Below are 19,146 nucleotides of genomic sequence, written 5' to 3'. Positions count from 1 at the left end.
CCTAACCCATCTTTTACAAGAAAAATTTCACAGAACAACAAACAATATGGAAAGTCTTTATTTTGGAAAATCGCAGTTTATTCAAACCAAGGTGAACCGAGTATAAAAAGATGAGTGGATATAAATAACCATATTAAATACTGTGCCTTCAGGGGCACTCTGGAAGCAAATATAATGGAAGTATGAGTTTAAATGTTTAAATTAGACAATTTCAGTTGTTTTTCATTACTTTTCAGTATCATTTGACTGCTTTTACACAGATCTGGTATGATATTTCACATTTCCAATTTTGTTACTATGTAGTTTCATAGTCATCTCTGGGGCAACTGTAAGGTATTATGACTGCCTTTTTTTTTAAAGAGACAGGTTCTCATTCTGTTGCCCAGGCTGGAGTGCGGTGGCTCAATAATAGCTCACTACAACTTTGAACTCCTGGGCTCAAGCGATCCTCCTGCCTCAGCCTCCTGAGTAGCTAGGGCTACTAGTGCATGCCACCATGCCTGGCTAATTAAATTTTTTTTTTTTTGGTAGGGGCAAGATTTATGTATTATTTTTGTTTTGTTTTGTTTTGTTTTGTTTTGAGATGGAGTCTCCCTCTATGGCTCATGCTGGAGTGCAGTGGCGCGATCTTGGCTCACTGCAACCTCCGCCTCCTGGGTTCAAGCTATTCTTCTGCCTCAGCCTCCTGAGTATCTGGGATTACAGGCACCCACCACCACGCTGGGCTAATTTTTGTATTTTTAGTAGAGATGAGGTTTCACTGTGTTGTCCAGGCTGGTCTTGAACTCCTGACCTCAGGTGATCTGCCTGCCTTGGCTTCCCAAAGTGCTGGTATTATAGGCATGAGCCACCGTGCCTGGCGAGACAGGTCTTGATATGTTACCCAGGCTGATCTTGAATTCCTGGCCTCAAACGATCCTCCTGCCTCAGCCTTCCAAGGTGCTGGGATTATAGGTAGGCACCACTGTGCCTGGCCTAGGACGGCTTTTTAAAAACAAACATCAGAACTCTCCAAATGGGAAGTTATTTTTTTTTTATTGAGACAGGGTCTCACTCTGTTACCCAGGCTGGACTCCAGTGGCATGATCACAGCTCACTGCAGCCTTGAACTCCCGGGCCCTAGCAGTCCTCTCACTTTAGCCTCCCTAGTAGCTAGGACTATAGGCACGCACTACCACATCTACTAATTCTTGTATCTTTTGTTAGAAATGGGATTTTGGCATGTTGCCAGGCTGGTCTGCAACTCCTGGGCTCAGTGATCCTCATACCTTGGCCTTCCAAAATGTTGGGATTACAGGCGTGAGCCACTGCTCCCTGCCTTGGAAAGTTATGTATTTATTTTAGTGACATTTCCAAATTCTGAAATATTTGGTATATTTCTTTTGAATTTGTCTTTAGAGCATATTACGTGTTCTTAATTCTGGTAAGTCATCATTGTGCAGGTGCTTATATTTAACTTTTGGAGATAGGAAAGTCTGGTGAAGGAAGTGAGTGGTCAGCATTGTTTTTGGCCACAAATGAAATGTTATTCTAAAAGGTGGAGACTAGCATTTTGTGTGTGTGTGAGGTTTGTCTTTGAGAATCCTATAAATGGCACGTCAAAAAAGTTTTGAGTCTTGGCCACATGATTGGAAGATGCGCCCAGTCATCCCAATCCTTGGAAGGTCTTACCTCCCAAGATGGCGCCATTGAATAACAGCACTTGTTTTCAGTGCTGAAACCTCTATAAAACAAATCATGGTATGAATATGACCCATATTACAATTAAATTGGAATTCTCTTAATGAAAACATTAGGTTGTATTAATGTCACTGTGATTTTATTTATAACGTTAATAAATTAATATTGTTAAATTTTGTCTAAGAAAGGAACATGTTTAGTCTGCTGACAGGCAAATCTGTGTAGGAACAGATTCGAACTGAAGTATAATTAAAGGGTGAAATGTATTTTTCTGGCCCACTTTCCAATGCTTTATTTTTTGTTTTTATTTTTTGAGACAGTCTCGCTCTGTTGCCCAGGCTGGAGTGCAGTGGCATGATCTCGGCTCACTGCAACTTCTGCCTCCTGGGTTCAAGCGATTCTCCTGCCTCAGCCTCCCCAGTAGCTGGGATTACAGGCTCATGCCACCATGCCTGGCTAATTTTTGTATTTTTAGTAGAGACAGGGTTTCACCATGTTGGCCAGGCTGGTCTCGAACTACGACCTCAAGTGATTCACCTGCCTTGGCCTCCCAAAGTGCTGGGATTACAGGTGTGAGCTACCGTGCCTGGCCGGCTTTATTTGCATAGGCTTTCTACAGATGCTGAAGAACTCAAATAGAAAAATGGTATCATTTACCTTGGTCTGACAGCATTTTTCTGTTTCTAAACATAAATCTCTGTTTTTATCTAGTTTCAAGTTAACTGGTAACGTTAACTGTTGAGATAAAGTTAATTTTTGGTTAAGTCCTGGAACAGCTTTATCAAAAATGTGCTGTTTTCCCAATTATCTGCGGGTATTTATCTGATTTAGGCCATTTTAGTGATTCACCAGTGAATGAGCAGCTCATTTAAGTGTTAATTTTTTTTTAGATGGAGTTTCACTCTTGTTGCCCAGGCTGGAGTGAGTGCAATGGCACGATCTTGGCTCTCGGGTTCAAGTGATTCCCTCATCTCAGCCTTCCGAGTAGCTGGGATTACAGGCACCCGCCACCACGCCTGGCCCATTTAAGTTTATAATTCAGATATTTTGAAGAATTCTTAGTCATTGAGGACTAATGATGAAACCAGTTGCTGACTTCTATATGACAGCTACAGTACTTAAGTACCTTTTATGTGTTTATTTAATCTCTTTTCAGCAACCCATTAGGGTAGATATTAATGAGGATAACTATTATTATCCTCATTTTGCAGAGGAAAAAACTAAGTCCCTAAGATGTGAGATCGGTTTGACCCAAGGTCAGTGCCAAGCTAGGATTTGACCTTGAGTTTACTCTTGAACATTACATTGTTTTAACACATAATGATTTTATGAACTGTGTACTGCCCTGTAAGTAAATGAGGTCAACATTGTCTTATGTTTCCTAGGATTGAAAGAAAGCCATTTTTAGATCTTGATGGACTTAAAGATTCATTAAATGGAAGACTTTACAGAAGTATACAGAAACTAGTTAAATATAGAAGATTCTTATAGAGATATTTAGAAAATGTAGTTAGGGTGTGTAAACAAAGTAATGGTCCCTGGTAGATTTAAATCAGGAATACCAGTTTTTATGCTTCTTGCCACAGCTGTAATGGAGTATAATATGATATATTCTTAGTGTAATTTGATAAAATTAGACATTTTCCAACATATGCGAAAATATTTTCTGTAGGAACTTGAGGACTTATCATTATGTTAGAATTTTGTTTTGAGACTAGATCCTAGGGCAGTTTTAAAGTGACTACCAGAATCTTAAAGACATGTGATGGAAAAATAGATGGGAGGACAGTTAATGGAGCAGGGAGAATTAATACGGAAATAATAAGGTAACTTAGAGGGAGAGAAAAGGAAAATAAAGGAAAGAATCCCAGCACTTTGGGAGGCTGAGGCGGGCGGATCACGAGGCCAGGAGATCGAGACCACCCTGGCTAACACAGTGAAACCCCGTCTCTACTAAAAATACAAAAAAAAAAAAAAAAAATTAGCCAGGTGTGGTGGCAGGCGCCTGTAATCCCAGCTACTCAGGAGGCTGAGGCAGGAGAATGGCGTGAACCCAGGAGGCAGAGCTTGCAGTGAGCCGAGATCATGCCACTGCACTCCAGCCTGGGCGACAGAGCAAGACTCCGTCTCAAAAAAAAAAGAAAAGAAAAAGAAGACAGGGTCTTACTCTGTTCCCTAGGCTGGAATGCAGTATGTGATCATGACTCACTGCAGCCTTGATCTCCCAGGCTCAAGCAGTCCTTCCACCTCAGCCTCCCCAAGTAGCTGGGACTACAGGCACAAACCACCATGCCTGGTAATTAAAAAAAAATTTTTTTTTTGTAGAGATGGGGGTCTGGCTATGTTGCCCAGGCTGGTGTTGAACTCTTGGCCTCAAATGATCCTCCCACTGTGGCCTCCCAAAGTTCTGTGAGTTTTGACAAATGTATACTGTCCAACAACCACCACCACAATCAAGATTTTGCACAGTTCCATCACCTCTGCAAAGTCCCTTCTGCTCTTTTGTAGTCTACCCCAATTCTTACCCTCAGGCAACCACTGCGTTGTTTTCTATTCCTATCGTTTTGCCTTTTCCAGAATGTTCTGTAAGTGGTAGTCTGTAGTCTGTAGCCTTTTAGTCTGGCTTATTTCACTTAGCATCGTATTTTTGAGGTTCATCCACATTATTGCATGTATCAGCAGCTCATTCCTTTACATTGCTGAGTAGTATTCTATTGTATAGATGTATTATAGTTTGTTTATTGACCAGTTGAGGAGCATTTGGGTTGTGTGTGTGTGTGATAGAGTCTCACTCTGTTGCCCAGGCGGGGGCTGCAGCCTCAACCTCCCAGGCTCAATGATTCTCCTACCTCAGCCTCCTGAGTAGCTGAGATGACTACAGGTGTGCACCACCGTTTGTGGGTAATATTTTTGATTTCTAGTAGAGTCGAGGTCTCACTATGTCACTCAGGCTGGTCTCGAACTCCCAAAGTGCCATGACTGGCTGCGACTCTGTCTTAAAAACAAAACAAAACAAAACAAAACAAAAACAGGTAAGAGAAAGGGCATCATCTCAGATTAAAGGGGTTTTTCATGTTGAATAATTTAGCCTTATGAAAAATTTACTATTCTTGGGTGAAAATACCATTGACTAAAATGACTGCCCTAGGAGGTCTGTTGTTATGCTAATAGTGTATGTTGAAATGACAGGTTACAGTTTACTGGGATTAGTTTAGGCTGAAGTGGTCTGTGAGGGCTTCATGCAGGCAGTTAGACTAGAGTTTTTCAGTGGTGGATGGATAGAGGTTGAAGAGGCAGAAAGGAAAGAGAAGGTTTTGTTTTTCTTTTACTTTTTAAATTTTTTTCTTTTGTATTTGAGAAAGTTAAGGATGAGGGAATGGTTTTCTAGGCAAGAGCAAATCAAGGGCAAAGATAGAGATTAGACGTATTATTGATGGGAACTGGGAATACTTGTCTGGTCTAGTAATAGAGTTTAGATTATGGACTAGGAAGGAGATAAGATAGTGAAGTAATGCTCATTGAGATTATGAACAGTCTTAACAGTCATACTGAGGAATTTGGACCTGATCTTGCTAACATTTGGGAATCATTGAAGGTTTACAAGTTGAGCAGTGACTTGATGAACTTGGAATTATGACATTAATCAAGAAGTGTTGTATAGATTATCTGAAAGGAAGCCAGTTAAGGAATTTTTTTAAAGAAATAAAATTATGCTGCAGGCATGAATTTAGCAAGTGGAATGGGAAGAAAAAGGAATATATTGGAGAGATTTTGGAGAAGGAAGAGATGGGACTTAATAACGTAGAGAAAGAAGAAAAGAAAGTGAAGATAGCTCTTAAGCTTATGAAACTGGTAGAATTGGCCGGGAACGGTGGCCCACACTTGTAATCCTAGCACTTTGGGAGGTCGAGGCTGGTGGATCACCTGAGGCTAGGAGTTCGAGACCAGCCTGGCCAACGTGGCAAAACCCTGTCTCTACTAAAAATACAAAAAGTAGCCGGGCATGGTGGTGGGCGCCTGTAATCCCAGCTACTCGGTAGGCTGAAGCAGGAGAATCGCTTGAACCCAGGGGGCAGAGGTTGCAGTGAGCCCAGATTGTGTCACTCCACTCCAGCCTGGGCAAGAGTGAAACTGTGTCTCAAAAAAATAAAGAAAGAAATTGGTAGAATTGAGGAACATTTGTGGTATTAGTTAACTGAAGTTGGAAAGGGTACAAGACATAGCCTCTCTTTTGCCCTCAAATTCTCTGTGGACTGCATTATATCCATATGCTTTTTCAATTCCATTTATTTGTGAGATGTTGAGATTCTCTAAAATTGCCCCAGGATTAAGCTGGAAGTTAAAAGTTTAGTTTATTTTGGAAGTAATCATTTGGAAAAAAATACAGTACGTTTCAAACCATGAAACATTGTATAAGTTCCTAGTTATGAAAATCGTACCTTAATAAACACTGTCATCCTTAGTTAGGTTAACTGTTAGATAGAGAGGACTTTTTGGAAAACATTTGTTATTTTATGATTTTTTTAACATAATTTGCCCTGTGTGTATTAACAACAGTAACCAATAAATTGTGGTTCAGCTTGGATGGTTTAGTTTATAATGACATTAGTTAAAATGGTCTTCCATTTCTTTTCATTGCAACATGTGGAGTATATTATCTACCATTTCTTTTCTTTTTTTTTTTTTTTGGAGACTGAGTCTTGCTTTTTTGCCCAGGTTGGAGTGCAGTGGCGTGATCTTGGCTCACTGCAACCTCCGCCTCCTGGGTTCAAGCGATTCTCCTGCCTCAGCCTCCCGAGCAGCTGGGACTACAGGTATGTGCTACCATGCCCAGCTAATTTTTATATCTTTATTAGAGATGGGGTTTCACCATATTGGCCAGGCTGGTCTTGAACTCCTGACCTTGTGATCCACCCGCCCTGGCCTCCCAAGTGCAGGGATTACAGGCGTGAGCCACTGCACCTGGCCATTATCTACCATTTCTTAAGCATCTACTGTGTAGTAGGTACTTGACTTACACTTTAATCTTTACAACTGCCTCATGAAATAGGTACTGTTATTCCTACTTTACAGGTGAGGAAATGGAAGCTCATAGAGGTTTAAGAAATATCCCTGGGGGAACCGGGAGAGTTAGAATTCTAGGTCAGTGACTTTAAAGTCCATGTTCTTTCTGCTCCTCTATCCTTGGATTACGCACCATAAGAACAGGAATAAAGAGTGGGTCAGTTGAGCTAATTGATTAGATAGTAATTTGAATCAGTGAAGTGCTAACTAAATATTAACTGGTGTTATCTATCCTTTTCCATCCTGTCTGAGCATGCAAAGGGGGCTTAGAAGACCCAGTTATGGCTGGGTGCGGTGGCTCATGTCTGTAATCCCAGCACTTTGGGAGGCCGAGGCAGGCGGATCACCTGAGATCAGGAGTTCAAGACCAGCCTGGCCAACATGGTGGAACCACATTTCTACAAAAATACAAAAATTAACCAGGCATGATGGCGGGTGCCTTTAATCCCAGCTACTTGGGAGGTTGAGGTGGGAGAATCGCTTGAACCTGGGAGGCAGGGGATTGCAGTGAGCCGAGATTGCACCATTGCACTCCAGCCTGGGCGACAGAGCGAGACTCTGCCTAAAAAAATAAACAAACAAAAAACCCAGTTCTAAATCATAAAAATAGAAGACCCAGTTCTAGTCATGTGGCATTCATTTATCTTTTGGGGAATGTCCCTCCTATGCCTTTGTAGAACACAACAAATCGTTATTAAAAACAAATGTCCAATTCGAAAAACAAACACAAACAAACTGTTGACACAGTTCAGCAACTTGCTAGTCTTGGCAAATGAAATTAAAGGATATTTCAGGTCCAGCTTCTGGGAAAGTGGGTTTTGGAGATGATTCCACTTGAAAATTAGGGCTAGTTAGTGCTGAAGACTTGTTGTCTGTGGTATCCAGCAGTTTTTTGATATGTTTGTCTTCATTCCCCTCATCCTCTGCAGCCATAAAGTTCTTTAGATTACTCTTCTTCATCTTCACTGTTGGTAAAAAGTTATCTCAAAGTTCCGTCTGCCTTATTGCCTCAGTATTTTAAAAGCTCAGTCCCATTCTTTTCTACCTCATTCTTGATGTCCCTTTACTACCTGTTTCTGCTGGGTCTGGTAGAACCTGTGCACAAATGTGAGCAAAGTCCTAAGTTCTTAATTTTTTTTCTTCCAATATTTCTTCCATCTCCTAACCCATAAGTGAAAACACGGCTTTTTCTGTAATGAATGCTATTATTTCTGTTTTCATTGGTTGAATACTCTGCAACTCCTTGGACGAGGGGAGCAATCATTGTAGTTCTAGTCATTCACTGTCCCTCTAGACCATTGTTTTGCCATTTTTGCACAGCTTCTGATTTTTCAAAAAGTCCTTACCATCTGTTCTCTCCCCATTTTTATTGCTTTTTGTCTTTTGTCCCATTGCTTTATTTGCTTTTGTCTGATGACTTCCAGGATCCACATGGATCAGTTTTCTTCTTCATTGCATTCTCTAGTATCCAGTACCTCACTCTCATCAGTTATCTTTCTCTCTTCCATCTTCACCTTCGCTATTGAGTCTTTCTTTTCAGACTACAAATACAGAGGTCTTGTCTATCCTAAAACAAATAAAAATTTTCTGCCTTTTCAGCTTTTTGAATTATTGCCATCTTTTTCTTCTTTTACTTCTAAACTTTTTTTTTTTTTTTTTTTTTTTTGAGACGGAGTCTGGCTCCGTCACCAGGCTGGAGTGCAGTGGCGCAATCTTGGCTCACTGCAACCTCCGCTTCCCGGGTTCAAGCAATTCTCCTGCCTCAGCCTCCCGAGTAGCTGGGATTACAGGCGCGTGCCACCACACCCAGCTAATTTTTGTATTTTCAGTAGAGACGGGGTTTCACCATGTTGGTCAGGCTGATCTCGATCTCGTGACCTCGTGATCCGCTCCCAAAGTGCTGGGATTATAGGCGTGAACCACCACGCCCGGCCCTTTTACTTCTAAACATTTTTAAAATGGCATTTTGTATGCAGCTTTTGCTTTTACACTCACTCACTTTTTAAGACTTTTCCTGTCTTGTTTCTGTCCCCAACACTACTGTAAATGCACATTCAAAAGACCCAATGTCTGTATATTCAGACATTTTCCTAGCCTTGTTTTCCTTAATATCGCTGCAATATTTAAGTTGTTGATCATCTTCCTTGAGCCTCTTTGACTATAAGTTAAAAATATATGTGTTTGACCCCATCTAGCCTGATAAGGCCATTTTGCCTGGCATTTGGCTGGTTGTTGGACTCTGGTGTTCATCTTGTGGCCTGTACTGACTAGCAGAGAAAGGGTGGAGCATGTTGGCACTGTACATCTTATAGTGCTCTGTACTCTGTGGACTTTTAAGTAAATAATTGATTTGACTTGCTAGTCTTCCTGTTTTCTCTTCCTCTCTCCTCAGTCCTGCTGTGGCTCGTGTGTAAAATGGATTGGTCACTTCTGGTCTTGACTCTGGTTAAATCTATAACAAGTAAAAAGTCTTATGTTGTTTTCAGAGTGGACTTTCTTAATTTTTATTTTTTAATTTAATTTTTTTTTTTTTTTTTTTTTTTTTTTAGGCAAGGTGTCACTCTGTCACCTGGGCTGGAATACAGTGTTGCCATCATGGCTCACTGCAGCCTCGACCTCCCAGGCTCAAGTGATCCTCCAACCTCTGCCTCTTGAGTAGCTAGGACCATACGCATGTGCCACCACACCTGGCTAATTTTAAACATTTTTGGTAGAGATTGGTCTGTGTTTCCTAGGCTGGTCTTGAACTCCTGGGATCAAGTGGTCTTCTCACCGTGGCTTCCCAAAGCATTGGGATTATAGGCCAGACTTTTTGAAAGAATGATATGGATTAAATCCTTTGGTAAATGCTTGTTAGATTTGAACTGCTCCAAAATTTTTGGGAAATTTTATATCAATTAGTGTCCTAAATGAGAACATTTTTGTGTTCTTTTTTATTTTAGCATGGTTTCATGAAACAAATCAGATTCTGTCACAGAAAAATAATTACACTGAGAATCTCAGTAGAATAGAATTCACAAGCACCACTTATTTTCAGGAATATTTCCTATAACATTGCACTGTGACAGTTCCCTGGAGTTTGTCATTGAATTTTGAGCTGAAGTTGCCCAGTTTCAGAAAGTTGCAGAGATAGCTGGGAAGAAGTAGCATGAGATTTGTGTTAGGCTAATACAAATTTAGTAAAGCAAATTTTCGAGATGACCTGATTTTTTGAGAAGGAAACAGTACTGAGTTATGCCACTTTGGTCGTTGTTGTTTTGTTGTGCTACATTAAATGACCTTTGAAGATTGTCTTCTTGAAATTTTTTTTTAACCTTGGGAGATTTGAGTCATTCACTATTTTCAGATGTTTATCACCTCCCCTGACAAGAAATGGAATTATTCAGCCCAGAGAGATGAAAAAGAGCTTTGAACTCAGTCTGAAGGTTCCGGGTCGGTCTTTATCATTATCTACCTATATGAACTTGAGCAAGTCACAAGTCCCTTTACCTTTTGGGTCTGAGATTTGTCAAATGAAAAAGTAAGTAATTTTAAGAAGACACTACCTATTTTAATTTGGGGCATTTGATGAAAAGCCATACAGAGTGACTCTCATGTAATTAGAAATGTGGCAGTTTATATTAAGAGATAAGGGTTTGCAGTATTATCACTACACATAAGAAACACAATGTAGCTATTGTATTCTTGTATTTCTTAAGTTCAAAATGGTAGAAGAGATGCTTGCATAGGCAGCAATATTAGTTACATGGATTATAAATTTACTGGAAAATATTACCAAAGTATGGAGACACTGAAATGTGAAATGTAAAACATATGCCCATTTCAAGATTACTTGATAGCTTTGAGACAAACATTTTTTAGATACTTGTTTACATGGAAAATGGCAAAGAAAAATGAAATAAAAATATTAACAGTAGTAGCTAATGGTGTTTGCTTAGCACTTACTATGTGCCAACAACTATTCTGGGATGAGTATATAATCCATTTAATTTTTTTTTTTTTTTTTTTTTTTTTGGGTAGAGACTGGGTCTTACTATGTTGCCCAGGCTGGTTTCAAACTCCTGGCCTCAAGTGATCCTTCCACCTCAGTCTTCCAAAGTGCTTGCTTGGTTTACAGGTGTGAGCACCTGGCTTTGGCCAACTTTCTTAAAGCATTAAGCATTTCTTTTTCTTTTTTTTTTTTTTGAGATAGAGTCTTGCTCTGTCACCCCAGGCTGAAGTGCAGTGGTGCGATCTCGGCTCACTGCAACTTCTGCCTCCTGAGTTCAAGTGATTCTCCTACCTCAGCCTCCCGAGTAGCTGGGATTACAGGCTCCCACCACCATGCCTTGCTAATTTTTGTATTTTTAGTAGAGATGGGGTTTCACTATGTTGGTTAGGCTGCTCTGGAACCCCTGACCTAAAGTGATCCACCCGTCTCGGCCTCCCAAAGTGCTGGGATTACAGGCATGAGCCACCGTGCCAGGCCAGCATTAAGCATTTCTTAAAGCCCATGTAGTTATTATTATTATTATTATTATTATTATTTTTGAGACGGAGTCTCACTCTGTCACCCAGGCTGGAGTGCGGTGGCGCGATCTCGGCTCACTGCAACCTCCGCCTCCCGGGCTCACGCCATTCTCCTGCCTCAGCCTCCCGAGTAGTTGGGACTACAGCTGCCCGCCACCACACCTGGCTAATTTTTTGTATTTTTAGTAGAGATGGGGTTTCACCATGTTAGCCAGGATGGTCTTGAGCTCCTGACCTCGTGATCCGCCTGCCTCGGCCTCCCAAAGTGCTGGGATTACAGGCGTGAGCCATCGCGCCCAGCCTATTATTATTATTTTTTTGGAGACAGAGTCTCATTCTGTCACCAAGGCTGGAGTACAGTGGTGTGATCACTGCTCACTGCAGCCTTGATCTTCCCGGGCTCAGGTGATCCTGCCACCTCTACCGCCCAAGTAGCTGGGACTGTAGGCGCACACCACTACACCTAATTTTTGTATTGTTTTGATAGAGATGGGGTTTTGCCATGTTGCCCAGGCTGATCTCAAACTCCTGGGTTCAAGTGATCCTCCCACCTTGGCCTCCCAAAGTGCTGGCATTGCAGGTGTGAGGCACCGCATGGGGGTCCCATTTAGTTCTTAAATTCTGTGTGATAGGTATTATCCCTATTTTACACATGAGGACACTGAGACGCAGTTAAGTAACTTGTCCATACGGCTATTAAGTGACGTCATGTGACTAGGTTTGTGTGACTCCAGAGCCTATGTTCCGCATAAATTTATCTGTTACATGTTAATCTCAGAATGCATAAAGATAATGGTGCATGGGCTGGGCGTGGTGGCTCACGCCTGTAATCCCAGCATTTTGGGTGTCTGAGGCAGGCAGATCATGAGGTCAAGAGATCGAGACCATCCTGGCCAACATGGTGAAACCCCGTCTCTACTAAAAATACAAAAATTAGCATGTGCCTGTAGTCCCAGCTACTCGAGAAGCTGAGGCAGCAGAATCGCTTGAACCCAGGAGGTGGAGGTTGCAGTGAGCCGAGATCGCACCACTGCACTCCAGCCTGGTGACAGAGGGAGACTCTGTCTTGAAAAAAAAGATGGTGGTGTTACGATGGTGAGGACAAAGAATTCAAATTATTTGTTGAATGTTTTACTAGGTTATTGTGTTTGCTTCCTTAATCCATGTGTAGTAATATTCTAACATAATTTTCATTACATAAGTATATTTGAGTAATATATACTCAAATTTATTGACTCAAATGAATTGAGTTTGAATTCCAGCTCTACCATATAATATTTGTGTAAACTAGGGAAAGGAACTCTGTTTTTCTGGGCCTCAGTTTACTCATCTTAAAAATGAGGTTGGCCAGCTGCAGTGGCTCACGCCGGTAATCCCCCAGCACTTTGGGAGGCTGAGGCGGGTGGATCATCTGAGGTCAGGAGTTCGAGACCAGCCTGACCAATAACGATGAAACCCTGTCTCTACTAAAAATACAAAAATTAGCCAGGCGTGGTGGCATGCACGTGTAATCCCACCTACTCAGGAGGCTGAGACAGGAGAAACACTTGAACTCAGGAGGCGGAGGTTGCAGTGAGCTGAGATTGCGCCATTGCACTCCAGCCTGGGCAACAAGAGTAAGACTCCGTCTCAAAAAAAAAAAAAAAAAAGAGATTAATAGTATCTGCCTCATAGGGTTGTTGTGAGATAATACGTTAGTTCACGCAAAGGGCTTTAAATGACACAAAACAAACACAATAAATATTACCTATTATTATTGTGTTATGCTTTTAAGTTTTTCAAGTACTTTAACATTTCCTTCAAATAGCGTTCCTATGAGAGAGGTAGGGTCTAGAGTCTGTTATAGTAAGTCTTGTTTTACAAAGAAATCCATGAAGAAACTTATTTAAGCACACCAGAACAAAATTAAAAGAAATAGGCTGGGCATAGTGGCTCACCTGTAAGCCCAGCACTTTGGGAGGCTGAGGCAGGAGGATCCCTTGAGCCCAGAAATTTGAGACCAGCCTGGGCAACATGGTGAAACCCTGTCTTTACAAACACACAAAATACAAAAAATTAGCTGGGCGTGGTGACATGTGCCTGTGGTCGCAGTTACTTGGGAGGCTGAGGTGGGAAGATCACTTGAGTCTGGGAGGTTGAGGCTGCAGTGAGCTGTGATCATGCCACCACTGCATTGCAGCCTGGGCAACAGAGCAAGACAGAGCAAAGAAAAAACAACCAAAAAATCCCCCCAAAACCCCCACCAAAATGAAAAGAAATACAATTTAAAACATTCCTTAACCCCAACCTGAAAGAGAAAAATAAAAAGGCTTGGGATGTGTTCTAATAGTTACCTCTCTTATATAAGCAGGACTAACCTGTGGTATTTGGAATGAGAGAAGAGATCATTGCTGGCTACTCCTTTCTTCTTTTGGTTTTTTATTCTCTTCCTGCTGTTAGATGGGAGGTGGGGAGCATGTTACTGCATATTTCTTATGTCCTAGTCTAGCCTAGCCATCTGGGAAGCTGAGAAACCATATTTGAAGGATATCACATCTGCCAGGAACTGGGAAGACAGCTTACCTTTTTATGTGAAAAAAGGTAAAATGAGAGGAGACCTGAGCTACCAGTATGATCTGTTGGTGTTATGTGAGTTGTTTCACCAATTTAACTCTTAAATGGATTTAATAGAATCCCACTCTTTTGTTGTGTGTCAGTTTCTTGCAGTCGTTTAGAGACATTTTTGGAATCTAAGTATTTCTAGGGCTTTTTTCCCTTCTTACAGCCTTATGCCACTTGATATCTCTCAGCTGTCAGCACCTGATTTTGCTGCAGTATGTACTGCAAGATCTCTGCATTGCTGTAACCAGATCTTGGTCAGATGTACTCTTTCCATCTCTTCGATGAAAAGATATAGCATTGGAGACTCTTCCATATCCTTTGGAAAAACCTGAAAAGAAGAGTCTTTGAGAAGTCACCTTGTGTTGGGGCTTCTCTTGGCTAGCATTTCTCTGGCTGTAGCCTTCCCTTATATTTAATACGTAAAAGCACTGTCTTCAGCAAATGTGTATTGTACCTGTCCTTGCAAGAGGCTACTACCATATTAGTTACTGGAAATGCAGAGAGTATAACAATCAAAGCATATTGGATTAGACTGAGTTATGATTGAAGGTAGATAAAGCATTATACTGTAATGGAAGAGAGCTTTAGGATAAGGCAGTCCTGAATTTTAATTCTCAGTTCTGCCTCTTAAGACCACTGTGACCCTGAGCAAATTGCATAACCTCCCTGAACCTCAGTTTTCTCATCTGTAAAACAGAAGTACCAGCAATACCTAGTTCTTAGGGTTGTTTGAAGAGTTAAATGAGATAATAAATTTGTAACACCTAACAGAATGCTGGGATGTATTACTGTGAACTGTTATGAACCTTTCTGAAGTTGAGTTTCTAGTTAAAATTGGGATATTAATACTTATCTCAGATTTGTTGTAAAAATGAAATAAGGATGGTAAACAGTTAGCCTGGCGCAAAGGTTTTATCCAGCATAACAATCCTAGAGGGATGTTTATGGTAAGAATATGTGCAAAAAACAACTGAAGCAACTAAAACACTATAGACAGTGTTTCTACTAAAGTCATACCATCACCAGTAACTAGTCAGTGCCGCTTCAGCAATCTGGGTTACTCTGGCTGTGCCAAACTAAGTATGTGCATTTCCAGTTGTATTTTGCCCACTATTTATTATTTCCTTAGTATATCTGAAAATCTAGTCATTTTTCTTTTTTATACATAGATTCTACTCATTTTAAAAGAGTCAGCTTAAATTTTACCATCGACCAGGTACGGTGGCTCATGCCTGTAATCCCAGCACTTTGGGAGGCTTAGGCAGGTGGATCACGAGGTAAGGAGTTAGAGACCAGCCTGGCCAATGTGGTGAAACCCCGTCTCTACTAAAAATACAAAAATTAGCTGGGCTTGGTGGCAGGTACCTGAAATCCCAGCTACCCTGGAGGCTGAGGCAGGGGAATTGCTCGAACCCAGGAGATGGAGGTTGCACTGAGTGGAGATCATGCCACTGCACTCCACCCCGGACAAGAGAGTAAGACTCTATCAAAAAACAAAAAAGAAAAAAAAAATAGAGACGAAGTCTTACCATGTAGCCCAGGCTGGTTTCAAACTCCTGAGCTCAAGCGATCCTCCTGCTGCCTCAGCCTCCCAAAGTGCCAGGATTATAGGTATGAGCCACCGTGCCTGGCCTATTCATTCTTTAAAATCTACCTTTAGGTATCTTCTCTTCTGTGAGACCTTCCCTGATCCATAGTAAGTTGCAGTTGACTCTTGAACAATGTGGGAGTTAGGGGTGCCAACCCTCTGGTGCTGTCAAAAATCTGTGTGTGTGTGTGTGTGTGTGTGTGTGTGTGTGTGTGTGTGTGTGTGTGTATATATATATATATTTTATGCACCCACCATTTATTGGATGCCTGTGTGCCCAGCACCTCAGGTATGAAGCCAGACCACCAGGGCTCTGTTCTCGCAAGCTGTAATGTGTAATTCTGGCCCCATCATACCCTAAAGTCCGATTCAGAACTCAGATTATCCCGAGGCCACATATGCCCCTGGAGAAACCAGACTCATCAGAAGGGACTGGCAGCTCCTTCCTCAGTGATCAAACAGCAAAAATGTGCTTTCAAAGTGGGAGGCAATGCCAAAAAGAAAAACATTGCCTTAAGAGAAGAACCATTACAAAAAGAGAAATGACTGTCACCAAAATTAAAGTGTCATGTATCCACAAAATAAAATATTAACTAAAAATAATGCATTAAAAAGACCTTTGAAAATTTAGAGTAGGCTAGGTGTGGTGGTTTATGCCTGTAATCCCAGCACTTTGGGAGTCTAAGGCAGGAGGATTACTTGAGTCCAGGAGTACGAGACCAGCCTGGGCAATGTAGCAAGATCCTGTTTCTACAAAGTATTTTTAAAAATTAGCTGGGCTTTTGCCGGATGCGGTGGCTCATGCCTGTAATCCCAGCACTTTGGGAGGCTGAGGCGGGTGGGTCACCTGAGGTTGGGAGTTCAAGACCACTCTGACCAACATGGAGAAACCCTGTCTCTACTAAAAAAATACAAAATTAGCCAGGTGTGGTGGCACATGCCTGTAATCCCAGCTACATGGGAGGCTGAGGCAGGAGAATTGCTTGAACCCGGGAGGCGGAGGTTGCAGTGAGCCGGAGATGGCGCCATTGCACTCCAGCCTGGGCAACAAAAGCAAAACTGTCTCAAAAAAAAAAAAAAAATTAGCTGGGCATTGTGGTGTATGCCTGTGGTCCCAGCTGCCTGGGAGGCTGAGGTGAGAGGATCGCTTGAGCCCAGGAGGTCAAGGCTCCAGTGAACTATGATCTTGCCCCTGCTCTCTAGCCTGGGGGACATTGGGACCCTGTTTCCAAAAAAACACAAAAATTAGAGTAAAAACTTCAAGATGATTTTATGTTATGGACCATGAGATCTCCCTGCTTGGCCTGTAGTGCTTTGGTGGCCCATGTGGCAGAGGGGTGGCTGCACCGCTGTGCCCACCCACCTTGCTGCCCAGGCCAAAATGTAACACACTGAATACTATGTCCTTGGGTGCTCTCACTCCCTCCAGGGACACCAGAGACTCATTGCAATTGGCCACTGATGTGGCTTGCTCCCCTCATCAGCTCTGACCAGTGATACCCATGTGAGTGGTTGAGGGCAAGGACACACCTGTCTTCTTGGGTCCCTTGAACATGGCATGAGGGTGTGGCTTGCCCACAGGAGGCTCAAGGGATACACTGGGAGGGCACTGCCCAAGGCTTTTTGTCTCCCCTACAAGGTCCCAGGCTCCCTTGCCTGGCTCCCCTGAACTCAAAGCAGAAAGCAGGTTTCCTGAAATCTAGCCTTCCTCCTTTCCCCCACCTTCCAGGAATGTGGGGCCAGGCCGTGTCCCGTTCTCCAAGAGCCAGGCTGAGGGCTAGTTGTCACGCATGGGTGGCTCCAACCTGCTGGCCTGGTCAGAGTAGAGGGGTGGTAGGGACTGTTCGTCTCCCAGCCCACAGACCAGGTAGCTGTGGTTGTACTTGGCCTCTTTGCCGTACAGCTCCAGGAGGACCTTGGTGAGCTCTTTATCCACCTTCTCCCTGGGCACACTGTGGCTAAGGAGCCAGCCTGTGAGGTGCTTGAGCATTGGATTGGGCTCCAGCATGAGCCTGGTGTGGCGTGACTGGCTCTGATGCCAGAGCAGGCCAACGTTGGAGATGGTCTGAGCTCCATCATGGCCTCTAGCAGAGTGACCAGGGAGAGATGTAGCTCTGAGGGTGCTGCCAGCAGCAGGTGTTGCCAGCAGCAGACACTGCTGTAGGCCCTGAGTGAAGGGCATGTCCTTGGGTGCCACTGGCTCATGTGAGGGGGACAAGGGGTCCAAGGAGGCCGAGAGGGGCTCACAGTAGATCCAGTCGAGCATGCCTGTCTTGCACACCAGCTGGATGCCCTCCTCCTTGGTGGTCCAGGGCTAGAAAGGCAGCTCGGTGGCCTCAAAGGGCAGGAAGGACTTTTAGCGCTGGCACCAGGCTCTGAGCAGCCAGGCAAGCAGTGCCATGCCACTTTCCCACAAGGCATTGCAGTGGTAGTTGAAGATGGCATTGTGAGTCAAGTTGCCCATTAGCACCACCAGCTCCCAGGAGTTCAAGGACAGGGCGTGGCCCACTGGTTGTGCATCTGCAAGATCCAGGTGATCATGAACTGCTTGGGGTTCTGCTTGAAGCCACAAGAGATGGCCAGGAGCTTGGTGTAAGTGTAATATGTGTATTACATATGTGTAATATGTGTAGTACCCTTTCTTCCACCCATGTGAGTAGCTACCATTTGTCAGCCATGGTTGTAGTTGCCCTAAGTCAGAAAACAGCAGAGAGTCTGGATAGGTGCTACTACAGGAGTGAGAAGAATAGCCAGGCCCTTCAACTCCTGAAGGAAGCACCAAGAGGAATGGCAAGGCTCTTGGACTCCTGGAGGAAACACCATGATGTGGGGGTAGTAGTAGGGTGGTCCCTCAACTTGAAAATACACCCAGCCCTTACTCTCTCCAAGGCCTGAGTGTAACCTTTGACTTCTCCAAAACTTAATGGCCTCCTGTTGACCAATAACATAAACAGTTAACACATTTTTTTTTTTTTTCTTGAGACAGAATTTTGCTCTGCCCTCCAGACTGGTATACAGTGGCATGAGCACAGCTTACAGCAGTCTCAGCCTCCCAGGCTCAAGTGATCCTCCCACCTCAGCCTCCTAAGTAGTTGGGTCTATAGGTACGTGCCACCAAGCCCAGCTAATTTTTAAAATTTCACTGTAGAGACGAGGTCTTGCTATGTTGCCAGGGCTGGTCTCGAACTCCTGGCCTCAAGCAATCCTCTTGCTTCAGCCTCTCAAAGTGTTGGAATTCCAGGTGTGAACCACTATATTAGACCCACATATTTTCTGTGTTGTATGTATTATATACTTGTACTCTTATAATAAATTAAGCTAAAGAAATTGTTACAAAAATCATAAGCAGGAGAAAATATATTTACTATCCATTAAGTGGAAGAGGATCATCATAAAGGTCTTCCTTGTCATCTTCACATTGAGTAGGCTGAGGAGGGAGAGGAAGGCTTGGTCTTGCTGTCTTGGGGTAGTGAAGGTAGAAGAAAATCCATCTGTAAATGGACCTGTGCAGTTCAAACCCATGTTGTTCAAGGGTCACCTATACCTCCTTCTGCCCTTTGTACATCTGTTGTTGCACTTAACACATTGTGTTGTAATTATTTGCGTACTTTATTTATAATAAACTGAATATCATAAGATCAGACTATCTCTGTATTCCCACTTTATAGTACATGCCTTGCTCAATAGATACTGAATTGAGACCT

At 42.7% G+C, this 19,146-nt stretch overlaps 1 protein-coding gene across 9 annotated transcripts in view, besides 2 other annotated features; it reads left to right on the top strand.

The window, feature by feature from the left end:
- The window catches only part of LUZP1 (leucine zipper protein 1), a 94,481-nt gene that overhangs the window by 19,752 nt on the left and 55,583 nt on the right, over positions 1 to 19,146 (top strand). Inside the window, exon 2 of one of the 9 annotated variants that reach the window (XM_047429987.1) lies at positions 10,091 to 10,264. The exons of the other annotated variants lie outside the window; for them this stretch is intronic. The gene's annotated coding sequence lies outside the window, so the exon portion shown is untranslated. The remainder of the gene's footprint in view (positions 1 to 10,090; positions 10,265 to 19,146) is intronic. 9 annotated transcript variants of the gene reach the window in all.
- Positions 17,003 to 17,503: an enhancer, noted in NCBI's record as "H3K4me1 hESC enhancer chr1:23467361-23467861 (GRCh37/hg19 assembly coordinates)". NCBI's record gives its function as "activates a minimal SCP1, AML or CMV promoter by ChIP-STARR-seq in naive H9 embryonic stem cells {active_cell/tissue: H9 hESC(naive)}" and the evidence as "EXISTENCE:reporter gene assay evidence [ECO:0000049][PMID:30033119]".
- Positions 17,504 to 18,004: an enhancer, noted in NCBI's record as "H3K4me1 hESC enhancer chr1:23466860-23467360 (GRCh37/hg19 assembly coordinates)". NCBI's record gives its function as "activates a minimal SCP1, AML or CMV promoter by ChIP-STARR-seq in naive H9 embryonic stem cells {active_cell/tissue: H9 hESC(naive)}" and the evidence as "EXISTENCE:reporter gene assay evidence [ECO:0000049][PMID:30033119]".

Source organism: Homo sapiens, chromosome 1 (assembly GCF_000001405.40).
Source record: "Homo sapiens chromosome 1, GRCh38.p14 Primary Assembly".
Taxonomy (NCBI): domain Eukaryota; kingdom Metazoa; phylum Chordata; class Mammalia; order Primates; family Hominidae; genus Homo; species Homo sapiens.
The sequence above is the reverse complement of the archived record's forward strand: the minus strand, read 5'-3'. Positions and strand labels throughout refer to the sequence as shown.